The 23232-nt window shown below is 54.7% G+C and overlaps 1 protein-coding gene across 18 annotated transcripts in view, besides 6 other annotated features; it reads right to left on the reverse strand.

Moving 5' to 3' along the window:
• KIRREL3 (kirre like nephrin family adhesion molecule 3) overlaps positions 1-23232 on the reverse strand; it is a 580037-nt gene that overhangs the window by 9899 nt on the left and 546906 nt on the right. For 11 of the 18 annotated variants that reach the window (NM_001441257.1, NM_001441258.1, NM_032531.4 and 8 more), the window contains 7 exons: positions 23093-23198; positions 15753-15901; positions 13503-13630; positions 11723-11849; positions 7193-7293; positions 3555-3753; positions 2012-2047 (listed from right to left, as the gene is read on the reverse strand). In NM_001441257.1, coding sequence (NP_001428186.1) covers positions 2012-2047; positions 3555-3753; positions 7193-7293; positions 11723-11849; positions 13503-13630; positions 15753-15901; positions 23093-23198 — 846 coding nt within the window. The remainder of the gene's footprint in view (positions 1-2011; positions 2048-3554; positions 3754-7192; positions 7294-11722; positions 11850-13502; positions 13631-15752; positions 15902-23092; positions 23199-23232) is intronic. The other 7 variants (NM_001441262.1, NM_001441261.1, NM_001301097.2 and 4 more) reach the window with 1 other exon arrangement.
• Positions 1231-1396: a silencer, noted in NCBI's record as "fragment chr11:126304382-126304547 (GRCh37/hg19 assembly coordinates)". NCBI's record gives its function as "represses an EF-1alpha promoter that drives an FKBP-Casp9 reporter gene in an ReSE screen in HepG2 liver carcinoma cells {active_cell/tissue: HepG2}" and the evidence as "EXISTENCE:reporter gene assay evidence [ECO:0000049][PMID:32094911]".
• Positions 3233-4233: an enhancer, noted in NCBI's record as "H3K27ac-H3K4me1 hESC enhancer chr11:126306384-126307384 (GRCh37/hg19 assembly coordinates)". NCBI's record gives its function as "activates a minimal SCP1, AML or CMV promoter by ChIP-STARR-seq in naive H9 embryonic stem cells {active_cell/tissue: H9 hESC(naive)}" and the evidence as "EXISTENCE:reporter gene assay evidence [ECO:0000049][PMID:30033119]".
• Positions 9293-9975: an enhancer, noted in NCBI's record as "H3K4me1 hESC enhancer chr11:126312444-126313126 (GRCh37/hg19 assembly coordinates)". NCBI's record gives its function as "activates a minimal SCP1, AML or CMV promoter by ChIP-STARR-seq in primed H9 embryonic stem cells {active_cell/tissue: H9 hESC(primed)}" and the evidence as "EXISTENCE:reporter gene assay evidence [ECO:0000049][PMID:30033119]".
• Positions 11398-11951: an enhancer, noted in NCBI's record as "H3K27ac-H3K4me1 hESC enhancer chr11:126314549-126315102 (GRCh37/hg19 assembly coordinates)". NCBI's record gives its function as "activates a minimal SCP1, AML or CMV promoter by ChIP-STARR-seq in naive H9 embryonic stem cells {active_cell/tissue: H9 hESC(naive)}" and the evidence as "EXISTENCE:reporter gene assay evidence [ECO:0000049][PMID:30033119]".
• Positions 11952-12505: an enhancer, noted in NCBI's record as "H3K27ac-H3K4me1 hESC enhancer chr11:126315103-126315656 (GRCh37/hg19 assembly coordinates)". NCBI's record gives its function as "activates a minimal SCP1, AML or CMV promoter by ChIP-STARR-seq in naive H9 embryonic stem cells {active_cell/tissue: H9 hESC(naive)}" and the evidence as "EXISTENCE:reporter gene assay evidence [ECO:0000049][PMID:30033119]".
• Positions 13619-14187: an enhancer, noted in NCBI's record as "H3K27ac-H3K4me1 hESC enhancer chr11:126316770-126317338 (GRCh37/hg19 assembly coordinates)". NCBI's record gives its function as "activates a minimal SCP1, AML or CMV promoter by ChIP-STARR-seq in naive H9 embryonic stem cells {active_cell/tissue: H9 hESC(naive)}" and the evidence as "EXISTENCE:reporter gene assay evidence [ECO:0000049][PMID:30033119]".

Raw genomic sequence — 23232 nt, forward strand, 5'->3', positions numbered from 1 at the left:
TGTGGGCGAGTGGGGACAGCTAGGTATCAGTTCTGGGTTGTAAGCCTCTTGCTGTCTTTTTCTTTAAAGGGAGGAGAAAGACCTCAAACCCTGGCCTCTGAAGATGCTGCTGGGAGGAGGTATCAAGGGGTGGGGGTAGGGTGGCAGCCATTTGCCCTCCGGCCAGAGGGAGCTGGCGCCCCTGGCTGGCAGTGTTGCTGGTTAAGCTGGCACATCCCTTTGCCACCCCAGGACTTGCACACGAAGCCATTGGTTACCTACCAATTAGTGGCCAGGACAGCTGTAGGGGTGACAGGGAGGGGACCAAGAGGAGGTGGAATGGTGGACACTTAGGGATTGAAACGGGAGGTGCTCGCATTGGTTCAACAGTCAGACTGAGAAAAGGGGCTGGGCCTCAGCAGAGCTTGCCTTGACCAATAGACGACAACGTCTCTAGGTTTAGTTCCATGAAGAAAGGGAAACTGCTGTGGCAGCTCATTGGTTCTCTGCTTTTGAATTGGATTGATTTGGGTTGGTTTCTCCTCAGATTCCTAGTAAGTTTCCTTGGAAAAACACAGGGCTTGTCTCAGCGGAACTCAGAGCCAAAGCATGTCCATGGAAGGCTCTTAACACCTCTGGGCCTCAGTGCCTTGTCTGCACCCTGGAGAGCTGGGCAGCAGCATTGAAGGTGCCTTCCGATCCTGGGATCCCCAGCCCACGTTTCCACACGCTGCTGACGGCTGGGGGAGGGGTGCCCTCTTAGCTGGACAACGGTCACCAGGGAGGTGGGCAGGGGGAGAGCAGGGGGTCCTGTGGGGGCGAGTGCCCCGGGGTGCCATCTCTTCCCAGTCCCCAGCCTGCCTGTGTGTGTTTCCTCCTTGCCTGGCTTCCTGAGGTTTGGCCTAGGGCGATGTGCAGGCCCCTCCTCTCTGCACAGAGCCTTCCCTGCATGGCTCCTGGAGAGGGACTGGAGGGAGGGGCTGTCCCCACTCAGCCTCCCCTCCATCCAAGGAGGTGTGCCAGGCACCAGGAGCCACCGAGGGGGGAAGGTGTTGGGGAGCTCTGGATGAGTGTCAGCAGACACAGGAGACACGGAGACAGGAGACACCACCCTCAGCACTAGCATGGACCCGGGGAGAAGGCAGCGGGAGGCTGGCAGCTTTCTGGGTTGCCCCAGTGTGGGCTGCAGGGGCCTCTGTGAGCAACCTGTGCCCTGGGTTGGTGCTCTGATAGGGGCATGTCTGCCAGGAGGGGCAGAGGCAGGGGCATGAGGATCCCACGTGGAGCTTGTTGAGGAGGTAACAGAGGCCAGGGGCCAGTGTGGCAGGAGGCCTGGGATGGAGGACCACTCAAGTCTTCAGCATGGCCATAGAGCCTGGCTTGCTGGTCCTGATTCTCTTTTCTGGTTTTCTGCTCGGGGTGGGGTTGAGAGCAACTCCGCCCAGGGGGCCTGATGACTGCTTTGCTGCGTGTGCCTGGGGAGGGAGGCGCTGCCCTGCAGCCTCAGCTTGGGGTGAGATGACACTTCCATGGGGACTGCAGGAGTAGGGAGGGGTGGCAAACAGCAAGCATGGATTGCACAAGCCACAGCAGGGGCTGGGGGCCCCCGGTGTCCTGGGAAGCAGTGGCCAAGCTGGTGATGATGTGGAGAAGCGGGAAGGGTCGGAGAGAGCCTGGAAGCAGAAGGCAGTCAGGACAGGGGCCAGCTGACCCCAGAGGCCAGGAGTCAGGGCTCCTGAAGAGAAAGGATGGAAGGAATGGAGCGGGGACGAGCAAGAGCCAGTGTCCCAGAGAGGAAGGAGTTGTGGGTTCCGGCGGCAGGCAGGAGACAGGTCTCTGGGGTCCCTAGGCCCAAGCTGGCTGGGACCTCCTCTCCCCACTGCTTTGTCTACACTAAACCCTCAGGACGGGGGAGGGCGGAGACACTAGCGGCCAGCACAGGCCTCCCTACCCCCTGCTGGGTTCCCTCCCCAGCTAGCCAGGAAGTCCCTTCCCCCCTTCCCAGGGCCATTCTCATCATCTCCTTCCGTACCTGCTTCCAGCCCGGCTCCCGACTTCATTTCCGAACCTGTTTGGAAATAAAGCAAGCGTCTACAGCCAGGGCCTGGCTGGCCAGGGTGGGGTGGGACTGGGAATTAGCTGCTTGAGCGGGGCTGGGTGAGGGGCTCCTTTCCCAGTCATGTCTCTGGGACCCCCCAACAGATCCAGGCTAGCCCAGCTGAACTTGGAGTTCATTCAGGCTGACTTAGAGACTCTGGAGGGGCTAGGGACCGGAGAGAGATCACGTCTCGGAGGGGTCTGGGAGGGTTGGGGTGAGAACACTCGGGGGAGGGCATGGGGATGGGGGCACCAAGGGGAAGACACGGAGGGTAGGCAACAGGGGACCAGGAAGGTTTGGGATGATGTGTGGATGATATTATGCAAATTATGTGCAAAGCATTATGCAAAGCAGCACCTATTAGGGAAGAGGTGTTGGGAGATGCTGTGTGATTTGACCCATAGGTGTGATCCTGGTGTGGCCCACTGAGGCCTGGGGGCCCAGCTGAGACCACCCACTTGGCCTAGAATCTCTTGCTGGGCCTGACAGCCTGCGAATGGACCTTTACCTAAGAGGGTGTCAGAGATCGTCAGGACTGAGGCCTCCTGGGCCTCAGAGGCCCAGGCCCAGCTGAGCACGAATCCCTGGTCCACCATGGCTTAGCCCCTGCTGGCAAAAGGGCAAGATCAACTGCCCCTCTCAGAACCCGGCTTGCTGCTGGCTGTGGTGGGGCTTCTGGAGCCACCCCTCCGTGCCCCTCCAAGGCTCCCCATCCTGTTGTCTGTGCCTGAGAGCTCTGAGCAGACGCTGGAGATCTGAGCCTCTTTGACCAGGAGCTGGGACGTCAGCGCACGGGGGCACAGTGGGGTGAGGCTTGTTCCTCCTGCCTCCTCCCTCTCACCCACCCGGCTGCTTTGCCCAGCGCTGCCTTTGAGGTACAGGGGTCCATGTGCCTCCTGGGTCTGCAGGTCATCTGAGCCCAGCCCCCGACCCTAGGGATCTGGACAAGCAAGCCTAACCCCTTAGCTTTAGCCTGGGTGCCCTCTGTGGGACTTGTGTCTGAGTAACTGGATGGGCTTGTCATCTTAACTGTGACTGGGCCAGGTTCCCAGCACACCCATGCCAGTGTATCCCACGCTCCACCCAGGCATGACACTTTGGTGTCAGACCAGGGCCCATGGCAGAGGGCAGGGCACAGAAGCCAGGGCCTCTGGAGGCTACTGGGCAGCTTGTCACTGCCACCAGCCTGCTCACTGTTGTGGTCACCTCCCACTGAAGCATCGCCCTCAAGGGCTGCCCCTCTGAGCTGTGTTCTTCCCTTTCTTGGTTCCTGGTGGAGGCTCGTGCCCCTTGCTTCAGCGAGAGCCTGGCTGAGGAGGCTGCTGGCTGGCTAGGCTGTGTGGTCAGCCAGGAAGAGCACTGTGGCTTGTCCTTGGGCCCTGGCCCACCTTGCAGCCACCCGCGCCCTGACCTAGGTGAGGAGAGGGCCCTCTGGTTCCATCGTTCGTTGTTCCCTCATGGCCCTGGCAGCTCTCACCTTGCTCCTTGAGCCGGATGATCTCAGTGTCGGAGCCGAAGCTGTTCCAGGCCGTGCAGTTGTAGATGGTCTGGAAGTCGGCCCGCACGATGTTGCTGATGGTCAGGGTGGAGATGACGCCCTCCTCGGTGCTGATGGTCTCCACCGTATAGCGCCCCGATGTGCCCGACTCCAGAACGTTCTCCTTCCAGGACCAGGCCTGCCCGGGGGCGCAGAATCAGGAGGAGACCCCACCAGAGGGGCCCAGGACACGCCCACACCAGAGTCACAGTGCCACTGTCCTGCTCATGTTCATGCTCACTGCCACACACTAACACATGTGCACACGGGTATGTATGCAGGCACACATGCCACACACCACAAATATGCACACATGCAGGTGCACACACAACACGCATCACCACACATGGGCATGCACAGCATCCCACACGGCACCCACATGCAGGTACACGTGTGCACACACAACACACAAACACATCACACGTCTATACACAGCTCCCCACACATGGCCAACACGTTTATATACATACTACACACACCACAAATGTGTACACACAGCTCTGCACACACACAAGTGTGCACCCACTATAACACACACATCACCACGTACACATACCAATGTATATACACACAGGTTTGTACACACACACCACACTACAAACATGCATATGCAAGTACATGTACCACAACACACATAAACATGCATCACAACACATGCACACACCAAAGCACACAACACATCACAGTGCACACATGCCTGCACATATGTGCACATGTCACAACATGCATACACACATCACAGTACATGCACATCACACTTCACACTAAAAACATGATACAGACATGTACATACACATGGCAGACACGACACCACATCTACACGCAACACACAGCCACTCCCCGAAATACATGTACACATGCACACACACACCAAGATGCACGCACCATATGCCACAATACAACACACAATACAAGCATGCTTACACACATGTACATACCACAACACACACTGCAACACATACACACATTCGCCATACACACCATCATGTGTACTTACAGGTACACACACTATGACATACACACACACCATGTGCTCACACACACAAGTACACACACTACCAACAGATACACATGTTCACACATGCCATGACACATGTACACGGTAACACACCCACACCACACATGTACACAATCCACAAACACATGTACACACACATACTCTGGGGCATCCTCAGAGGGTCTTTCCATCCCAGAAAGGGGCCTGGGGAGCATCTTTCTGGGCAAAGTGGGTGCCCTGTTGGCCTGCGCACTGCGCCTCCACACAAATGCCCCCCGGGACTGTGGCTGCCTGGGTGGGTGTGAGTTAGGACAGCAGCCCCATGAACGCGTCTACCTGTGTGATGTTGTATGTCTGTGTGAGAAATGTGTCTACAGAGCTGTGTTTGCGATCACCTTCGTCTGCCTTAGTTTACAGGGCTGCTGGTTAACAGTTTTCAGAGCCGGCCACATACACTGTCTGCACCTCATCGTGTAAGCGCCTCGTATATCCTGGTTCGGGGCTGATGAGAGGGACTGAGTTTCTCAAGCTTGCTGCTATTGTCACGCTGGACTGACCCATTCCTGGCCGTGGGGCTCTCCCAGGCATTGCAGGATGTCAGCAGCACCCTGGCCTCTACACACCCGGTGCCAGGAGTATCCTCCAAGTGATGACAACCAAAATGTCTCCAGGCACTGCCAAATGTCCCCTGGGGCCAGTGAGAACCGCTGGCCTAGAATCAGATATTTCTGGAGAGAAGGTGTGAAAATGTCCAAGAGTGAATGGAATATTTGACAATGAGCATGTGTTACATTTATAATTAAAAACATCAAAAAGCAAAGTGAATGGGGAGGCGTAGGTATTAGTTTTATTCATGAGTTCTTGCAATTTTTTTGTGAATCTTTCAGACAGTGAATGAACTGAATGCTTGAGAAAGCGTGTAGCAGCAATAATACTCTAATAATATCTTAGTTAACAGGATGACAGTTTCAGTTGGTGCAGCCTGGGTGTCTCAGCCCCCGCATGCACGGGTTAGGGGTGACCTCAGCTGCTTCACATCTGGGCCAGCCCCACCCTCCCTGCACAACTGCCCTGCCCACTCCACCCCTGGACAGTCTTCTAGCAGGATTTTGCCATACACTGGGAATTACTACAAATAAGTTTTCCCCGAGTAGTGCTATAAAATGCTCACTTTTCTTTGTTTTCATGCCTGAGATCCCTCCAGTTTTAGATGGATTTGAGTACAAGACTCTGCCCCTGGATCACCTGAGGTCAGGAGTTTGAGACCAGCTTGGCCAACATGGTGAAACCTTATCTACTAAAAATACAAAAAAATTAGCTGGGTGTGGTGGCAGGTGCCTGTAATCCCAGTTACTTGGAAGGTTGAGGCAGGAGAATTGCTTGAACCCAGGAAGTGGAGGTTGCAGTGAGCCAAGATTGCACCATTGCACCCAGCCTGGGTGATAGAGAGAGACTCTGTCTCAAAAAAGAAAGAGGGAAAAAAAGACTCTGCCCTCACCTTAATTTTTTTGTTGTTGTTGTAGAGACAGGGTCTCACTATGTTGCCCAGGCTGGTCTCAAACTCCTGGGCTCAGTCGATCTTCCCACCTCAGCCTTCCAAAGTGCTGGGATTACAGACATGAGGCTCCTGCTCAGTAAGACCCTCCCTTTAAAAAAATGCAGATACTGGCTGGGCATGGTGGCTCACGCCTGTAATCCCAGCACTTTGGGAGGCTGGGGTAGGAGGATCGATTGAGCCCAGGAGTTTGAGACCAGCCTGACCAACATGGTGAGACCCCATCTCTACTGAAAATACAAAAATTAGCGAGGTGTGGTGGCAGATGCCTGTAATCCCAGCTACTCAAGAGGCGCTGAGGCATGAGAATTGCTTGAACTGGGAGGTGGAGGTTGCAGTGAGCCGAGATTGTGTCACTGCACTCCAGCCTGGGTGATAGAGCGAGACTCCATCTCAAAAAACAAACACAAACAAACAAACCCAAAAAACACACAAACAAAAAAACCAAGCAGATAGCTGGTAGGAGGCGCTGAGGGTGGACTCCTCAGTTGCCTTAGCTGCATTGCAGGGATAAGTTCTTTGAGGAAGGGAGAGAGAATGGAATGGTCACTTTAGAGGGGACGATTGATAGGCAACAGGGCAGGCTACCATGGACAGTAAAGGCCACAGAGACCTGGCAAGGAGGGCTCCAGGAGGCACAGAAAGGGGTTGCCAACTATTACCTGCGCTCTAAGATTTTGCTAAAGACTGGCCTGGAGCCCAGGAAGAGAAGAAGTCACTTGTCTTTTCTCTCCACTACCCTCGTGTGCCCCTCTGCCCTTAGGATGCGGAATTTGGTCAGAGCCGTTCATGTCAGAGCTCAGCAGAATGGCAGCTGAACCCTGGGAGAGCACTGCCTGTTCTGAGAAAGGCCTGCAATTGTGTCTTCACGATGCTTTTCCAAGACAGCCAAGGCAGGTATAATTTTCCTCAGCAAGAAAGAGGAACCTCGGAGGTGTGCACCGCCTGGCTGGCCACCCAGGTATTGGCAAAAGTGACTGTTGGGCTGCTGGCCCGGCCCCCGCCCGCCGTCCCTGGAGCACTCACGATGCGGTCCGGCGGCGGCGTGCTCCGGATGAAGCACTTGATCTGGCCCTTCTCGCCGTGGAGGGCGTGCTGGGTCTGGGTGCTGGAGATGATGGGGGGTCCTGTTGAGAAACAGCGTCCCATTAGGCACCCGGGAAGGGCACGTCCCTGCTGGCGCCCTCTTGGGTGGGTTCAGAAGTGTATTCATTAATCCAAGCATTCAGCAAACATTTGCCGAAGGCCTGTATGTGCAAGGTAAAGTGCAAGGTAGAGGACTCAGAGATAAATTAGGCATTCAGTCATAAACCTCTCAAGGGATCATGAGCGAATGCTTCTAAGTCAGAACCCCCAGAAGATACAAATAACTGTAATAAAAGGTGGTGAGTGTTAGTACCACAGGAGCGGTGCAGATAAAGTGCTAACCGACTTCAGAGGAGAGAGAATAATTCTATCTGGCGGACGGGGAAAGCTTTAGGGAGGAGGTGGTAAGCCTGCAGAGGGGGTGGGGAGGTGTCTAGATGAAGGAAGACTCCCCCGCCTCAGCCAGCGGCACCCCTGCGAGCCATTCCTCAGATATCCAGTAGAGGGCGCCCTTGCCTAACAAATGGGAGCTGCTCGGCCAGACGGGCCAACGGGAAGAAATGGTTGCTGTCCCTCTCCTTAGGGCGGGAATCACCCCGGACAGGGGGAATGCATGCGCTGGCCGTGTTCACAGCCCTCCTCCCACCTGTGTCTCAGGAGGTCCTGCAGTTCATCATCTTGTCTGCCTCCACGTCCATACCCAGACTGCCCAAGTGAGGCCATGGCTCCCAAACTGACCCCAATATTATCATATCACAGAGTGTGGCACATGTTTATGGGTGTCAGGTTCTGAGAGCGCCTGTCTCATTCACCACATTGCACAGCCAAGAGAGTTCACCTGGTGGAGGGGAGCCTGTTCCCCAGCGCCTCCTGTCCAGTTCCGCCTGTTACCTAACCCAAGTCTTTCCCCTGTGACGCCTGCCTGGCCGTGAAAGACAAAAGAAGGAGCAGCTAGCTTAGCCTGGGCTCTGCTGGCTTCCTGGCTGGGCTGGGTGGTTGAAGGATGGGAGTAGGGACGGAAACTGTCATGCTCCCTTTCCAATCCCTGGGGTCACAGTTGGGACTTAGATGGCAGATACCAGAGGAAAGACAGCCGGGAGCAACGCATCTGGAGAACACACAGAATTATGCAGGAACAAAACAAAAATTGCTGCAAACATAATTGCTGTTTATTAGCCACCTTAATTAAAGCAGATTTGCATTTCTATGAGTAGCTCTCAGCCAAGGGAGAAAAGGTACTGTAGACACTCCAGTGACTTCTGTTGAGTTTGAGAAGGCAAAAGGGCTCGGGGCAGCGTGAGGTGGGCGTGGGGGACCCTCCATGGCTTTAAGAATGGGCTGAGCGCTGCCCTCCTTCCTAAAAATCCTTCAGCTCCAACAGGTCTAGGACCCAAAGAGATGAGGAGATTGATGTTTTAGGAACCGGATGGTGCTTTGTTTTATTGCTGGACTAAAACGTGATGATAATATAAAACCTTTTCTGGTCAGGTGCGGTGGCTCACACCTAGAAACCTAGCACTTTGGGAGGCTGAGGAGGGTGGATCACAAGGTCAGGAGTTCAAGACCAGCCTGGCCAATATGGTGAAACCCCGTCTGTACTAAAAATACAAAAATTTTTAGTATTTATTATTTAGCCTCCCTACTTGGGAGGCTGAGGCAGGAGAATTGCTTGAACCTGGGAGGTGGAGGTTGCAGTGAGCCGAGATTGCGCCACTGCACTCCAGCCTGGGCGACAGAGCGAGACTCCAGCTCAAAAAAAAAAAACAAAAAAAAAACAAAAAACCCAACATGCACAGACACACAAAACACACACACACACACACACACACACACACACACACACACAAAACCTTTTCCTTGTGCTTCCCAGGAGCTAGGAATTCCCTGAGGGGTTTTCATGATTCTAAAAGCCATCATCAAATGCATCTGCTTCTTAAAAGAAAATGAAAACCAGGATAAAGGGAAATGGGGTGAGGGTTAGTAAGATTTCTCTCCCCTTCCTGCAGATACCTGATTTGAGCCAAATCGGTTGAGGTGTGTGCCAATTTCTTTCCCAAAGGACTGCTGCGCTGGCCAGCAGTTGTCCAAGGCTGGGATTTGTCGCGATAAAAACCTGATCTCATTTGAATGCTTTCATATCACCAGCTCCCTCCAGCCCATGCCCAGGTCCCATCCACTGGGCGTCCCCCCTCCCTCTGCCTGCTCTGCAGAAGCAGGGGCAGACAGTTCGCCCCCTGGCAGGTCTGGTGCGCTCCCCTCCGGGGCCACTGAACTCATCCACCTGCCTCCAGGTGTGTGAGGCCACCCTAGTCAAGAAATAAACAAGCAGCTTCTTTGCTTCCCTCCAATCCCTCCAGCTTTTCTCTGCCTGGAAGCCTCGGGGAGCTTGTGCTGGCAGGGGTGGAGGCAGAGGAGGGGAGAGAAAGAGACCTGGAGAGTGCAGATTCAACCTTGGTCAGCGCCAGGGCCCGGGTTTCAGTGCCCTCCCCGTCCAAGAGAAATGTCCCTCCCGGCCTGTGTTCCCCAGGGGGCATTCTCTCCTCAAGAAATCTCTTTAAATCTCCCTTGGAAATGTCTGAACGTCTAAAGTGACAGCAGATGTCAGCTCCTCCTTTATCCACCTGCTTTTCCCCAGAAACGCCAATGCTCATTTGATGCTCCAGGCTTGGGGGCCCTGGAGTGCATGAGTGAGTGTGAGGGTCCCGGGCTGGCTGGTCATAGGGCCAGCAGAGCAGAGCCGGCTGCAGGCACAGACAGCCTGACTTCCGAGTGCCCTGGCTGGCGCGGGCTGTGTGGAGGGCCGCTGATTTCACTGGGGCCTGGAGCTCTGAGCCGAGTGTCAGACACCTGCGCTGAAAGGAAAAGGCTGCAGCCTGTGTTGCCATGGATATACGGAGGCGCGATCAGATGCTGTTATTTTTAGCCCTGCAGTGCCAATTTATTGGTGGCATCCTGGGGACACTCAGGAAAGGCAGGAGGGCTCCGACTCAGGGCTCTGCCAGGACAGGTGGCTGTGAACGTGCTGGGGTCTGGGTAGACTCAGCCTCCCTTGGGGGCTGCCACGACTCTGGGGTGGGGGGAGAGGAATGGAAATGCGGGGCAGTGTGGGGGGAGCTGGTGAATGGAGACAGTAGAGAGGTATGGCTGAGGAGACACCAAGCTGGTTTTGGTTTTCTAGCGAAGGGGAGAATAGATGAGGCCATCAGCAGGTGGCTTTCTGGGTAGAGAGGAAGCTGAAGCCCACGAGCTAATTTGGAGACCTCAGGAGGGCCCTGCTCTGGGGCCAGGACCCAGATGTCCTGCAAATGTTGGTGGTTCAGTTCCTGCAGGGTCCCAGAGCTTTGGGGTTTTGATCTGAGTCAGGCTATGGTGGGAACAGGGGCCTCCCAAAGGGCAGTGGGCATGACAGAGGTGAGGGGGGAGCATTCGGAAACGGCAGAGGAATCGAACTGGCAGCTTTGCTTTTTGCCTGTGGCCAAAGCACCAGATAGGGCAGGGACGTCCGCATTTGCGTCCTGGTGCCACAACCTTCTTGGGTCTGGCCTGAGCCAGGTCTCAGCTTCTCCATGACTGTCTACACCCCATCATTCAGGCCTGGTGTGATGCCCTTGTCCCTACATATTTCATGTAACAGTCATTCATCTACTAACTCCCACCGTGAAAATACTCCCCTGCTGCAATTATTTTTATTATATATAATAAGACATGCCCCCTGCCCTCAAGGGGGCCCCTGAACACGTGGCCTCGTGGAGACGGTGACAGGGCTCCCTGGCTGGGTGACTCACACGCATTGGGAAGAGGCTGATCAGGAGCTGCAGAGATGCTCTCTTAAATTCTCATGGGGCCAGGAGAGGTGGCTCACGCCTATAATCCCAGCACTTTGGGAGGCCGAGGCAGGTGGCTCACTTGAGGTTAGGAGTTGGAGACCAACAATGGTGAAACCCTGTCTCTACTAAAAATACAAAAATTAGCTGGGCGTAGTGGCACGTGCCTGTAGTCCCAGCTACTCAGGAAGGTGAGGTTGCAGTGAGCTGAGATCGTGCCACTGCATTCCAGTCTGGACAACAGAGCGAGACTCCATCTCAAAAAGCAAAAAACCAACAAAAAATTCTCACGGGCCAAGGCCATGGTGAGTGGATGAAAGGGTGGACACGTTGGCCACCTAGTGACCTCTGATGCTTTTTTTCCTGGCCAGGATAAAATTCATCACCCACCACTCTCAGGGCTGAGACCCCTTCAAAGCTAACAAACAAAAAGAGAGGTGACTAGAAAACTACCCAGGCCCTTCCTCCCTCAGCCTGGGTCTGACGGGGAATCCAGGAGGTGGACCTAATTGTTGTCTACCCATAGTTGGAGGTGACAGCAAGGCCCAGAGCCAGCGACAGCTCCTTTGGGGCTATGCCTGGTGCCAAGATGCCTGAGGTCCTTCTTCCCTCCCTCAGGCCTGGCTCACCCCAGCGAGGGTCTTACCATTGACGGTCAGGGTCACCTCTCTCTCCCCGGCTCCCACACGGGGCACCACAGCCCGGCACACGTACTTGCCCGCGTCCTCCTGGCGCACGGATTTGAGGGTCAGGGTCTTCTCATTGCTCAGGACCTAGGAGAATTGGCAGGCTCAGATGCCAAGAGCAGGCGGAGGGGTGCACTCTTGTCTCTGGGAACAAGGCAGCTGAGAGGCTGGCCTGGGGTAACTGAGGCAGTCTCCGGCATCTCAGTAGGAAGCAAGGTGGGGAGGAAAGAGGCCAAAAGTTTCCTGGCCCAGACAATGCCTGTGGGCTGTACAGAGGAGACTGTACCAGCAGAGAGGCCACCCCGTGTGACTGAGGATGTTACATCCCAGGCGCAGCCCTGTGGGCTGGGGGCATGTGGGGGCACATGTGCCGGAGGAGGGGGATGCCTGCCTGGGGACTTCCAGGTTTCCTCCTACAGGAACCTCCCTGTACCTGCGGTGGCTTCTCCTCTCCCAGGCTAGCCATGGGTGACATGATCCTACAGCTGAACTTCTCTGGGGGCTCCTGGACCTGTTTTCAGAGTCATTTTCAGGATCCCTTTGGGATATAGCTTGGAGTGATGAAAACAGGCTCTGGCATGAGCTTGGTCTGCGTTCGAATCCCGGCTCCAGCAGTGAACACCTGTGTCTCTTTGGTCAGTTACTTATCTTCTCAGACGCTCCCTTTCTATGTATGGAGGCTGCTAGGATAATGCAGCGTCTGCTACATAACAGGCCACACAAAGGTCGGTTTCCTTCTGGTCCCCCTGCTTCCCTACCTGGAGCTCTCCCTGTTCCTTCCTATGTGAGGACATCTGACAATCTCTTATGCACTGAAGAATATATACGTCTTAAAAGAGGAACACAAGGGCTGGACACGGTGGCTCACGCCTGTAATCCCAGCACTTTGGGAGGCCGAGGTGGGCGGATCACCTGAGGTTGGGAGTTTGAGACTAGTGTGACCAACATGGAGAAACCCTGTCTCTACTAAAAATACAAAATTAGCTGGGCGTGGTGGCCCATACCCATAGTCCCAGCTACTCAGGAGGCTGAGGCAGGAGAATTACTTGAACCCGGGAGGCGGAGTTTGTGGTAAGCCAAGATCACGCCGCTGCACTCCAGCCTGGGCAACAAGCGCAAAACTCCATCTCAAAAAAAAAAAAAAAAAAAAAATGGAACACAGGAAAGTGAAGCCCAAGTCCAAGGCTAACGGTGGCTTTATTTGGGGGAAGTTTAAAAGGCTCTTTCTTTCTCTTTCTTTTCTTTCTCTCTCTTTCTTTTCTTTCTCCTTTCTTTCTTTCTTTCTCTCTCTCTCTTCCTTTCTTCCTTTCTTTCTTTCCTTTCTTCTTCTTTTTTTTCCCCAAGGTCTTGCTACGTTGCCCAGGCTGGACTTAAACTCTTGAGCTCATGTGATCCTTCCACCTCAGCCTCCTGAGTAGCTGGGACTACAGGTGTGTGCCACTGTGCCCACTTGAAAAGCCTTTCTAGTGCCTTCCCTCCCAGCACATTGGTGACCACCTACTTTTCTTGTAAGGTTTAGGACAGGGCAAGAGTGCAATGGCTGAATGTGCTCAGGGTGGGACAGGCACATGGGGGTGCCTGGGTTCCCCCTCCTCTTTCTGGGATCTTTCTCCCTGTGGCTTACACTGGAGGCTGACTCCCCCAGTCTAATAGTGAGAGGGGCCTGGGCAGCAGTTCCTTCTTGCTCCACTGTCCCCGCCCCCTGCCAGAGGTGCCCCGAGGTCTGAGCTGCAGCCTCACCACTCCGGAGCCCCGCTTCATCCAGACGATGGTCAGGGATGGGTTGCCGGTCCAGGCGCAGCTGAAGATGGCATCAGAGCCCAGATCCACGAGCAAGGATTGGGGTTCTGTGGTCATCCGGGGCCCAACTGCGATGTGAGGAAGAAGAAGACAGGTTCAGGTGGGTGGGGAGCTCTGGGATCCTCCTTGCTGCTGCCTCCTTTTCCCCCTAGACCTTGACTGGGGGGAGGCAGGCAGTGGGGTACTTGTGCCACCTCAGTCGCTTCCATTTTAAGTCTTATGTCCGGGCGGGGTCTGGGATCTGGGAGTGGGACTCAGGAAGCAAGGAGGAGACCACTCTCCCTGAGGCTTCGCCTCTCTTGGGCCCATGGAGGTGGTCGGCAGCGTGGGGCCTGGGAAGAAGGTGCTGGGGACCAGGTTCTGCCTGGATTTACCCCCACGGCTCTCATCCCCTTCCCTCTGTCTGGATCACGCCCGGTGCTAGAAAGCTGCGGAAGCCCCTCCATCCCAGTGGCGGGCAGGGGCCCTCCTCCTGCCCTGGAAATCTGGGCTCTTGGGATCTTCATGCCTCTGCCTTCAAGCTAGCTGCCATCTCCTCCAGCCTCAGCCTTCATGACCTGGAATCGAGTGACTGGTGCACCTCTGGGGTGGGATGGGGGCTCTGAGATGCAGGGTGATGGAGGCAGGGCTCTCGTGACCCACGCCTCCTCCCCCAGGGTTTCCCACCCGGTGCTCTCAGGCCACCCTCCTATTACAGCCGTTCCAGCCTCTGTGTCACGCCCATTGCAGTGGAGCAGCCCTGGGTTCCACTTCCGACCCCTCTCCTAAGCATTAAAGAGCTGAATGCAGGCTCCTCTCCACCTTCCCTAGCATGTCTGGAGCCTTCTGTAGACCAAGCTTGGTCTACACAGTGGGGGCCGTGTGGGGATTCCAGGCTCAGGGTCCGACCGTGGCCAGGCAGGCCTCAGAGTGCTCCTTCCAGGGAGCAGACAGAGCCTGAAGCCTGGTGCCAGGAGACTGCGATTAGTCCCCTGATGTAAAAAGGGAGTAACAGCACTTTCTTCGGAGGCTTCAAGGGCAAGGGGGAGGGCCAGATTTTTTCAAGTTTGTAAAAGCAAGTTTAAAACTGTAAGGGGCGGTGCATGAGCTAAGGATGCTTGTTTTGAACACATCCAGCCAGCTAGTCCATGGCAGTGCGCTGCCTTGCTGCGGGTCCCTGCTGGACCTCCAGTGAATAAGAGGGGATGGGCAGGTGCGGTGGCTCATGCCTGTAATCCCAGCACTTTGGGAGGCAGAGGTGGGTAGATCACGAGGTCAGGAGATTGAGACCATCCTGGCCAACATGGTGAAACTGTCTCTACTAAAAATACAAAAATTATCTGGGTATGGTGGCAAGTGCCTGTAGTCCCAGCTACTCGGGAGGCTGAGGCAGGAGAATCTCTTGAACCAGGGAGTTGGAGGTTGCAGTGAGCAGAGATCTTGCCACTGCATTCCAGCCTGGTGGCAGAGTGAGACTGTCTCAAAAAAAAAAAAAAAAAAAAAAGAAATAAAAAGAAAAAGAAGGTACGTCCGTGAGTCCCCTCAGTGGAAGGCAGCAGAATGTGTGAATGGGCAATGGATTTGGTCATTGCCTGGGTTCAGTTCTCATTTGGCCACCTACTGTGTGACCTCAGACCTCCATCTCCTCATTCAGATGATGAGAATAAATATCTACCCATGATGGCCTGCGTGCTTGTGTCCCCCGTCAACCCTGCAATTCGTAAATTGAAATCCTCACCCCTGTGGGATGGTAGTAGGAGGAGGAGCTTTGCAGGGGCAGGGGTTAGATCATGAGAGTGGAGCCCTCGTGATGAGATTAGTGCCCTTGGAATAAAGGCCCCAAGAGCTTGCTTCTCTCTTTCTCTCTGCCATGGGATGCCACAGCAAGAAGGCAGCTGCCTGCAAGCCAGGAAGAGAGTCCCCACCAAAACCCACCACGATGGCACCCTGATTTCAGCCATTTAAGCCACCGAGTCTATGGTAACGTGTCATAGCAGCCCCAGCCAAGACCCTGACTCATGGGGTCATGATAGGGATTGAAATAAACATGAAACAATGCACAAACCAGCTTTCGTCGAGTGCAAACCATCCTACGCTCATGACGCATGAAGCTTGTGTTGTGTGCAATGAATCTAGCCCTGGTTTCTCCAGCTCTAAGCAGAAACCAGTGGATGCCTGCTCGCCTGGGGAAGCCTGCACCACTGCACTCACAGTAGACGTCAACCGTGCGGCTGAGGTTGGTGCTGCCCAGGGCGTTGGTCACCTCACAGGAGACGGGCTCTGAGAAGTACGTGTAGTCCACTGTGGTCCTGTACACCTCTCCAGATGCCTCCTTGATGATCTGGCCCCGCTTGGCCCACCTGCAACAAAGGCCAGGGGCTGATGTGGGCCTTGAGTGGCAAGGCCAACCCTCCGGGAGCTGGACACATCCATCCCATGGAAAAATGAGGCCTGGGTTGTGTGGCAAGTGGGGAGTCCTCTGGGGTCCGTCAAGGGGAATCTTCACAGAGGGGCTACTTCAAGGGCTCAGAAAGAGTTGGTTTTGCTCCCACCCAGGTGGTTGTGAAGGCAGTGGGCTTTGGTTTGTGGTCACCAGGCAGTCAGTGGCACTCAACAAGTGGGTTATTCTGGAGGGGGTGAGTTGATTACTCGGCTGGTCAGCCCATCTGCTGGCTAGACGATGGAAAATCCAACTGTCAGTGGGCAGACAGCTCGCTGTCCTGCTCTGAGCTGGATCATGGGCCCCTTTGGAAAAGAAGGAGGCCAAGTCCATGACCTCAGAGGCCAGGGTCAAACGGAGCATGCCCATACATGCATGCTCATACGTGTGCACGAGCACACACACACACACTGACAAGGCGAGAAGCTGTAGGAGAGGTATGCTGTAGGGGCTCCATCTCCCGTCCAAACAGTGGAATACTAATACCCATCAGGAGGAGTGGCGTGAGCGAGTAGCCCTGGCTGCCCCTCTCTTTCCTCTTGACAAGCTCTCAGCTCTCCTGTCCTGTTCTGCCTCCTGCTTCCATGGGGTTCTGCATGGTGTCTCCTCGCCCCAGAAAGTCCTCCTAGTTTCCCTGGATGGCACTTGCTCTTCTTCCTGCCTGGCCTCTGCCCTTGCAGCCTGGCTTTGCTCCTCTGAAGCAATGGCTCCATCAGCACTGGCTTGGTGAGGGGATGTGAGTCGGAAGTCTCTTTTGTCGGCCAATCGGTACCACACAATAGGGGAGGACAGGAGGCCTCTGGCTTGCTTTGGATCTGGCTCTGGGGCAGTGACCCCTGTGTTGGACCAGTGACCCAGCAGCCTGCTGTGTGCAGAAAGCAACGGAGCCTCACAGGGGTGTATGTGTATACACATGTATGTGGGTGTATGTGTATACACATGTATGTGTGTGCATGTGTGTTCATGTGAATGTGTGCATGTATGTGTGCACGTGTGCATATGAATATGCATGTGTGAGTGTGCCTGTGTGTGCATGTGTGAGCATGTGCGTGTGTGCATGTGTGAGTGTGCCCATGTGCACGTGTGCATGTGTGAGCGTGGGCATGTGTGTCCATGTGCATGTGTGCATGTGTGAGTGTGCATGTGTGAGTGTGGGTATGTGTGAGTGTGTGCATGTGTGAGTGGGCATGTATGTGTCCATGTGTATGTGCGCATCTGTGAGTGTGTGAATGTGTGCATGTGTGTGGGTGTGAGTGTGTGCATGTGTGCATGTGTGTGTGTGCATCTGCGTATGTGTGCATGTGTGTCAATGTGCATGTGTGCATGTGCGTGTGCATGTGTGCATGTGCATGTGTGCATGTGTGTGTCCATCGGCGTGTGCGAGCATGTGCATGTGGGAGCATGTGCACGTGTGTGTGCATGAGTGTGTGTGTGTCCATGTGCATGGTGCGTGTGTGGTGCGTGCATGTGCGAGTTTGTGCATGTGTGAATGTGGGCATGTGTGAGTGTGGGCATGTATGACTGTGTGCATGTGTGAGGGTGTGCATCTGTGCATGTGTGTGTCTGCATGTGAAAGTGTGGGCATATGTGTGTATGCGTGTATAGATGTGTGAGCATGTGCACGTGTGTGTGCATGTGTGCATGTGTGCATGTGCGTGTGTGCATGTGCGTGTGTGTCCACGTGCATGTGTGCATGTGTGTGGGCGTGTGTGCATGTGTGAGCGTGTGCATGCATGGGTGTGTGCATGTGTCAATGTGCATGTGTGCACGTGAGTGCATGTGTCCATGTGCATGTGTACATGTGTGAGCATGTGCATGTGTGCATGCATGTGCATGTGTGTGCGTGTGTGCATATGTGTCCATGTGCATGTGTGCATGTGTGTGTGTGCATGTGCATGTGTGTGCATGTGTAAATGTGGGCACGTGTGAATGTGTACATGTGTGAATGTGGCCGTGTGTGTGCATGTGTGTGCATGTGTGGGTGTGTGTATGCATGTGTACATGTGTGAGCATGTGTGCATTGCTTGTGTGTCCGTGTGCATGTGTGCGTGTGTGCATGTGTGCATGTGTGTGCATGTGGTTGTGTGCATTAGTGAGTGTGTGCATGTGTGTGCGTATGTGAGTGTGACTATGTGTGAGCGTGTGCATGTGTGAACGTGTGCATGTGTGCATGTGTGTGCATGTGTGAGCGTGTGCATGTGTGTGTCCAAGTGCATGCGCATGTGTGGGCATGTGCATGTGTGTGTGCGCATGTGTGTGCATGTGTGAGTGTGTCCATTTGTGAGTGGGTGCATGTGTGAGAGTGTGCATGTGTGCATGTGTGTGATCATGTGCATGTGTGTGTGCGTGTGTGTACATGTGTGAGCATGTGCATGTGTGCATGTGTGTCCATGTGCATGTGTGCATGTATGGGCGTGTGCATGTGTGAGTGTGTGCATATGTGCGTGTGTGTGCACGTGTGAGTGTGTGCATGTGTGAGCACGTGCATATGCATGTGAAGTTGGGGGCTTCCTTACGGATCTCCAGGGAGAGAGAGTTCTCCGTTTCCCCTGGTTTAATCCTACTCTGATCCCAACATTCTTTTTTTTGAAACCACGGAACTTCTCTTCAGGCTGTTACAGTTGAAGTGTCTATGGGGAGTTTGTCTTTCCAGAGCTGCAGAGGCTTGTTGCCTCCAGAAGCGTCACCCCACAGCCACTGCTCCCTGGAACTGCAGTGTCTCTGCTCCCCTGCTTTGCCTCCCCTTTATCTTATTCCTGGAGCCTTTCCTGGCACCACAAACGCCGTCTCCTGCCCTTCCCTCCATTAGCTTCTTGCCTCCGTCTGACCCATCCAGCCCCGAGAGACGACTGTTTCTTGGCATCAGACAGAACACCTAGGCTGGCACCAAGCAGTTGTTATTGCAAATTAATATTGGGTAATTATTAAGAACACAATTAATAATAACAACTGTAGTTTAACAACAGAGCAAACCATATCTCCCTTAGAGCTTAAGGAGCTTCCCAACAAACCATTATGAGTTATTCATGTGTCGTTTCAATCTCTTAACTTTGATTTAATGACCAGACTTAAAAGAGTCAGGCCGGCCCCTGCCTGCGGCAAATGAATTCAGTTCCAGGCACAGCTAGGGAAGTGTGTCCAGCCCCGCAGTTCCTTTCACCCTGCTGAGGCGAGGGGGCCAGGTGGTGGATGCAGCGTGAGGCCAAGCGGGCAGCTGGCTGGGCTGGGAAGGCAGGGAGCCCTGGCTGCTCACAGCTGTGGGTGCCGGGCTGGGGCTGGAGGGTTTGGGCCCAGGTGATAGGGCCAAGCATGCGTCTTCCTCAGGGCTTCCTGGAGAAGCTCTCGCCTCTCCTCTCCTTCCAGGGCCCCTCACCAGGAGCATCACGGAGGGTGGAAGCCCCACCTGCTTGGCCCCAAGTAATCAGCAGAACTGCTGCTGGCTCCGGGAGCCAAGGTTCCCTGCCCTCCCTGTCCTCTCCTCTCATGGTGAGGGAGCCAGAGACGGAAGAGGACCGGAGCCGCTGTCGGGGCTGGGTCCGCAGGAGCCCAAGCCAGGTCTTTTGGGGAGGTGCCTCAGGACCCGACAGAGCCCGCAGCTCACATCTCGCCCAGCCGGTCTTTCTTCCCCTCCTGCACTGAAAAACCCTCTGAGAGGTCCCTGCCAAAAGCACAGACACTCAAACCACTGCATCCACGCAGCTGGCCAAGGATCCAGGCCAAGAGCTAAAGAGTGAGTCTCGCCCCACCCTCTTCGTGCCTCTCCTGATTTTGGTGCAGTTTCTTCCCTGTCCTTCCTCTTTGTCTCCTCCCCTCTCCCCACCCACCTCCCCCAACTCACTGTTGCTTCCCCACCTCCCCCAGCCCCTCTGAAAGTGGAGTCAGCTTAAGCCTCTCCCAATCAATGTCTAATTTGGTCTGAACAAATGTAAGAGGATTAATTATTTATATCACAGAATCAGGGGGGCTGGCGTGTCACAGCCGCCAGGTTGTCCTCAAATAGACCAAGGTTTCATCTCGTGTGGGGGGGCCACATCCCGCTATCTGCTGGGGAACACTGAGAGACTCTCAGAGGAAAGGGCCCCAAAGCACTTTGGGCTCCTGGTCCCTAGGAGCATCTGCAGTGACATCCCCATGCCACCCAGGCCTCCTTTCCAGGCACTGGGATGGAGGAGGGCGTTATCTCTAGCTTCAGAGATGACAGCCTCTTAGTGACAGCAGGGAGGAAGCTATCAAGATGAATGAAAGTAAAGAAACAAAGTTTCCTGTAATCTTGTCAGTTAGGAAAAATCAATGTACTTATGTGATGAGATTTGCTTACGGCTTTTCTTCTTGGATCCCAACATTGCTTCTAAACACCTGGCTGCTTGGTGAGACCTTGCTGGAGTGAAGGGGCTGAGCGAGTGTGGGTGGGTGCAGGCGCCCACCACCTCCCCTCTCCGTGGCCCCTCCGCCTCCTCCCTTCCCAGGCCACTCTGGCTCTCTGGCATTAACCTGGGGGCCGGAGGGGCTCCCTGAAAGCCTCTGGAGTCCTGGAGGGAGATGACCCCTCAGTGAGGTGTTTTCAGGGCCCTTCACTAATCAGAAGGCCATGAGGGAAGGTGACCAGGAAGAACTAGTGAGTCTCTGCAGGGCACCCTGCCCTCCCTGCCCCTCCCAGCTCCTGCTTGGTATAGGAGGGGCCGGCTGTGATACTGTGAGCTCCAGGGGAGTACGAAAGGGAGGACCCACAGGCCACCTGTAGCATGGGGAAGCCCGCATGTTCTCTGCTTGTTCATTAACTTTTCAGCTTGCAAAAAACAAACTTCGGAATTACAGAAAAGTTGTAAGAATAGTCCCATTAACTGCCACCCTCCCATCGCCCGGATTCACCAGCTGTTAACATTTTCTCACGCGTGCTTTGCGGAGACCTCTCCTCTCCTCCCACCTTCTTCTCTTTCCTATTATTGCTGTTCTGCTTTTTTGAGGTTGGTGACCCTGGGAATCAGGCCCAGCACTTCGTTTCCTGGGTGTTTGCTGTCCGGGTCAGTAGGCAGGTGTGGGTGGGGGAGGCAGGCCTGGGGGTGGAGGGGTCAGGTCCCAGGGCGTGCAGCCCTGCTGTCTGCCCAGCCTACCCATCACTAGGACCCCAGGTGACCAGAGCCTGGCAGTGAGGAGAAACGAAAGTCGAAAGTTGTGTGTCCTGGTCTCTGGGGCGCCCAACAGGCATTCTAAGGGTGGCTGTGAGGGTGAATAGGGGTGCTTGCCGGGTGGTCTGTGGGTGTGAAGGGCTGCCCTGGGAAGCTAGCATGACAGATATTTTCTGGGCATGTTGTACCTGGTGTTTAGGGACCAGGAGCAGAGACCTGGGAGCAGACAGAGGAGAGAAGCTGAACTTGTATGGAGAAACCCAGGCCTGGCAGGTGCAGCGTGGAAGCCTAGGGCCAGGGAGTCTCATTGGGCGCCTCTCTTGTATCTTCAGTGGCTTCTGAATAGATGCCAGACCACAGCCAAACCAGACTTGCCCCCTGGACCTGGCTGGACCCACATGATTCTGGGGAGCCTGGAGTCCCCGGCTCAGAAGGGACCCTGGAGGTCATCTGTTCTTTCTTCTGACTCTAGTCAAGCAAATGGTTAAACTGGACAGGACAAATGGGTTTCATCCTATTTAAAAATATCCTTGGGGATAGGAACTCTGGGCTCTGCCTGGGTTTCTGACTCCAGTGCTGCTTAATTACGCACTCTGCAGGGAGCACCTCCTCATGTCCAACCTGAATCCCTGGCTGTCCCTGTGGCCCATTTCCTTCCATTCTGCCCACGGGGGCCACACTGGCTCTTGTCTTCCCTGTTCTCCATTCCCACAGGCCGGCTTATTTCCTAGGCTGGCACCATTAACATCCTTGGCCTTTGCAGATGCTGCAGCTTAATGGCCGAGATCAATGGCAGAGGTGACACCTGGGCTCCACCACTAAGCCTGGTCTGGTGGAAAGAGACCAGGCTGAGTCAGGGCCATGGCAAGTTCCACGTGGCACCCAAAAGGAGGTGAGTCTGCCCTTGAGTGCCTCCAAGGTCACTTAGTCTCCTAGAGTCTTGTGCAGTGACAGTGCCCAGGCAGAAAGGCGCCCAGAGGAAGCGTGTGTTTATTGGATCAGTCAGACACATCTAAGGAGCATGTGGTTTATGCCATGTGCTGTGCTGCATGCTGAGAGCCATCAGTGACTAAATTGCAGTTCCTGCCTTCAAGAAGCTCTGTCACAAGGCAGAAACAAGTAAAACAAAAACAGTGATGCTTTGGCCGGGTGCGGTGGCTCATGCCTGTAATCCCAGCACTTTGGGAGGCTGAGGCAGGTGGATCACGAGGTCAGGAGATCGAGACCATCCTGGCTAACACGGTGAAACGCTGTCTCTACTAAAAATACAAAAAAAAAAAAAAATTAGCTGGCGTGGTGGCGGGCGCCTGTAGTCCCAGCTACTTGGGAGGCTGAGGCGGGAGAATGGCGTGAACCCAGGAGGCAGAGCTTGCCAGTGAGCTGAGATCACGCCACTGCACTCCAGCCTGGGTGACAGAGCGAGACTCTGTCTCAAAACAAACAAAGAAACAAACAAACAAACAAACCAACAAACCAAACAGTGGTGCTTTTATCCGTGTTGTGAGCAAGAGACACACAGGGGCCATGAGTAAGTGTGATCCCGGATGCTCACTGGACTGGGCCGGGGCCCAGACATCCTGATCTACCCAGGTGAACCAGTTTGATGGGCACAAGACTAGAATGGAGGTTCTGATCTTGCTGCTTCTCCTGGTTGTTCTGGTTTTTTTTTGTTTTCGTTTTTTTTTTTTTTTTTTCCTGAGCCTTTTCCCCATGTTTGGAGTGTGGAATAATCAGGCTATTCAAGCAGAAGCCGTGAGTCCTGCTTCCTCCAGTGGAAGAGGGCGCGTGCACGCACAGAGGAGAGGAAGGGTCCACACGGCTAGCAGGCAGGCGGGTTTAAGAGGAAGGGAAGAAGGCTACTGGACACGCGGTGTGGACTAGGCACACACTGCAGCCATGCTGAGGACCCTAAGTGACATCCCACGTGAGAGGCACGGGGGTGGGGGCCAGTGGCCAGGCCGGGCCCCCTCAGCAGTGACTCTCACCTGTACTGGGTGACAGCTGGGTTGGCCTTTGCAGAGCAGTGGAAAGTGACGACGTTGTCCTCCAGCACTGGCTGTGGCTCCACCGAGAGGTTGACCAGTGGAGGGTCTGCAGGGAGAGGAGAGTCACTTGTAGACCGGAG

This window comes from Homo sapiens, chromosome 11 (assembly GCF_000001405.40).
Source record: "Homo sapiens chromosome 11, GRCh38.p14 Primary Assembly".
Lineage (NCBI taxonomy): Eukaryota > Metazoa > Chordata > Mammalia > Primates > Hominidae > Homo > Homo sapiens.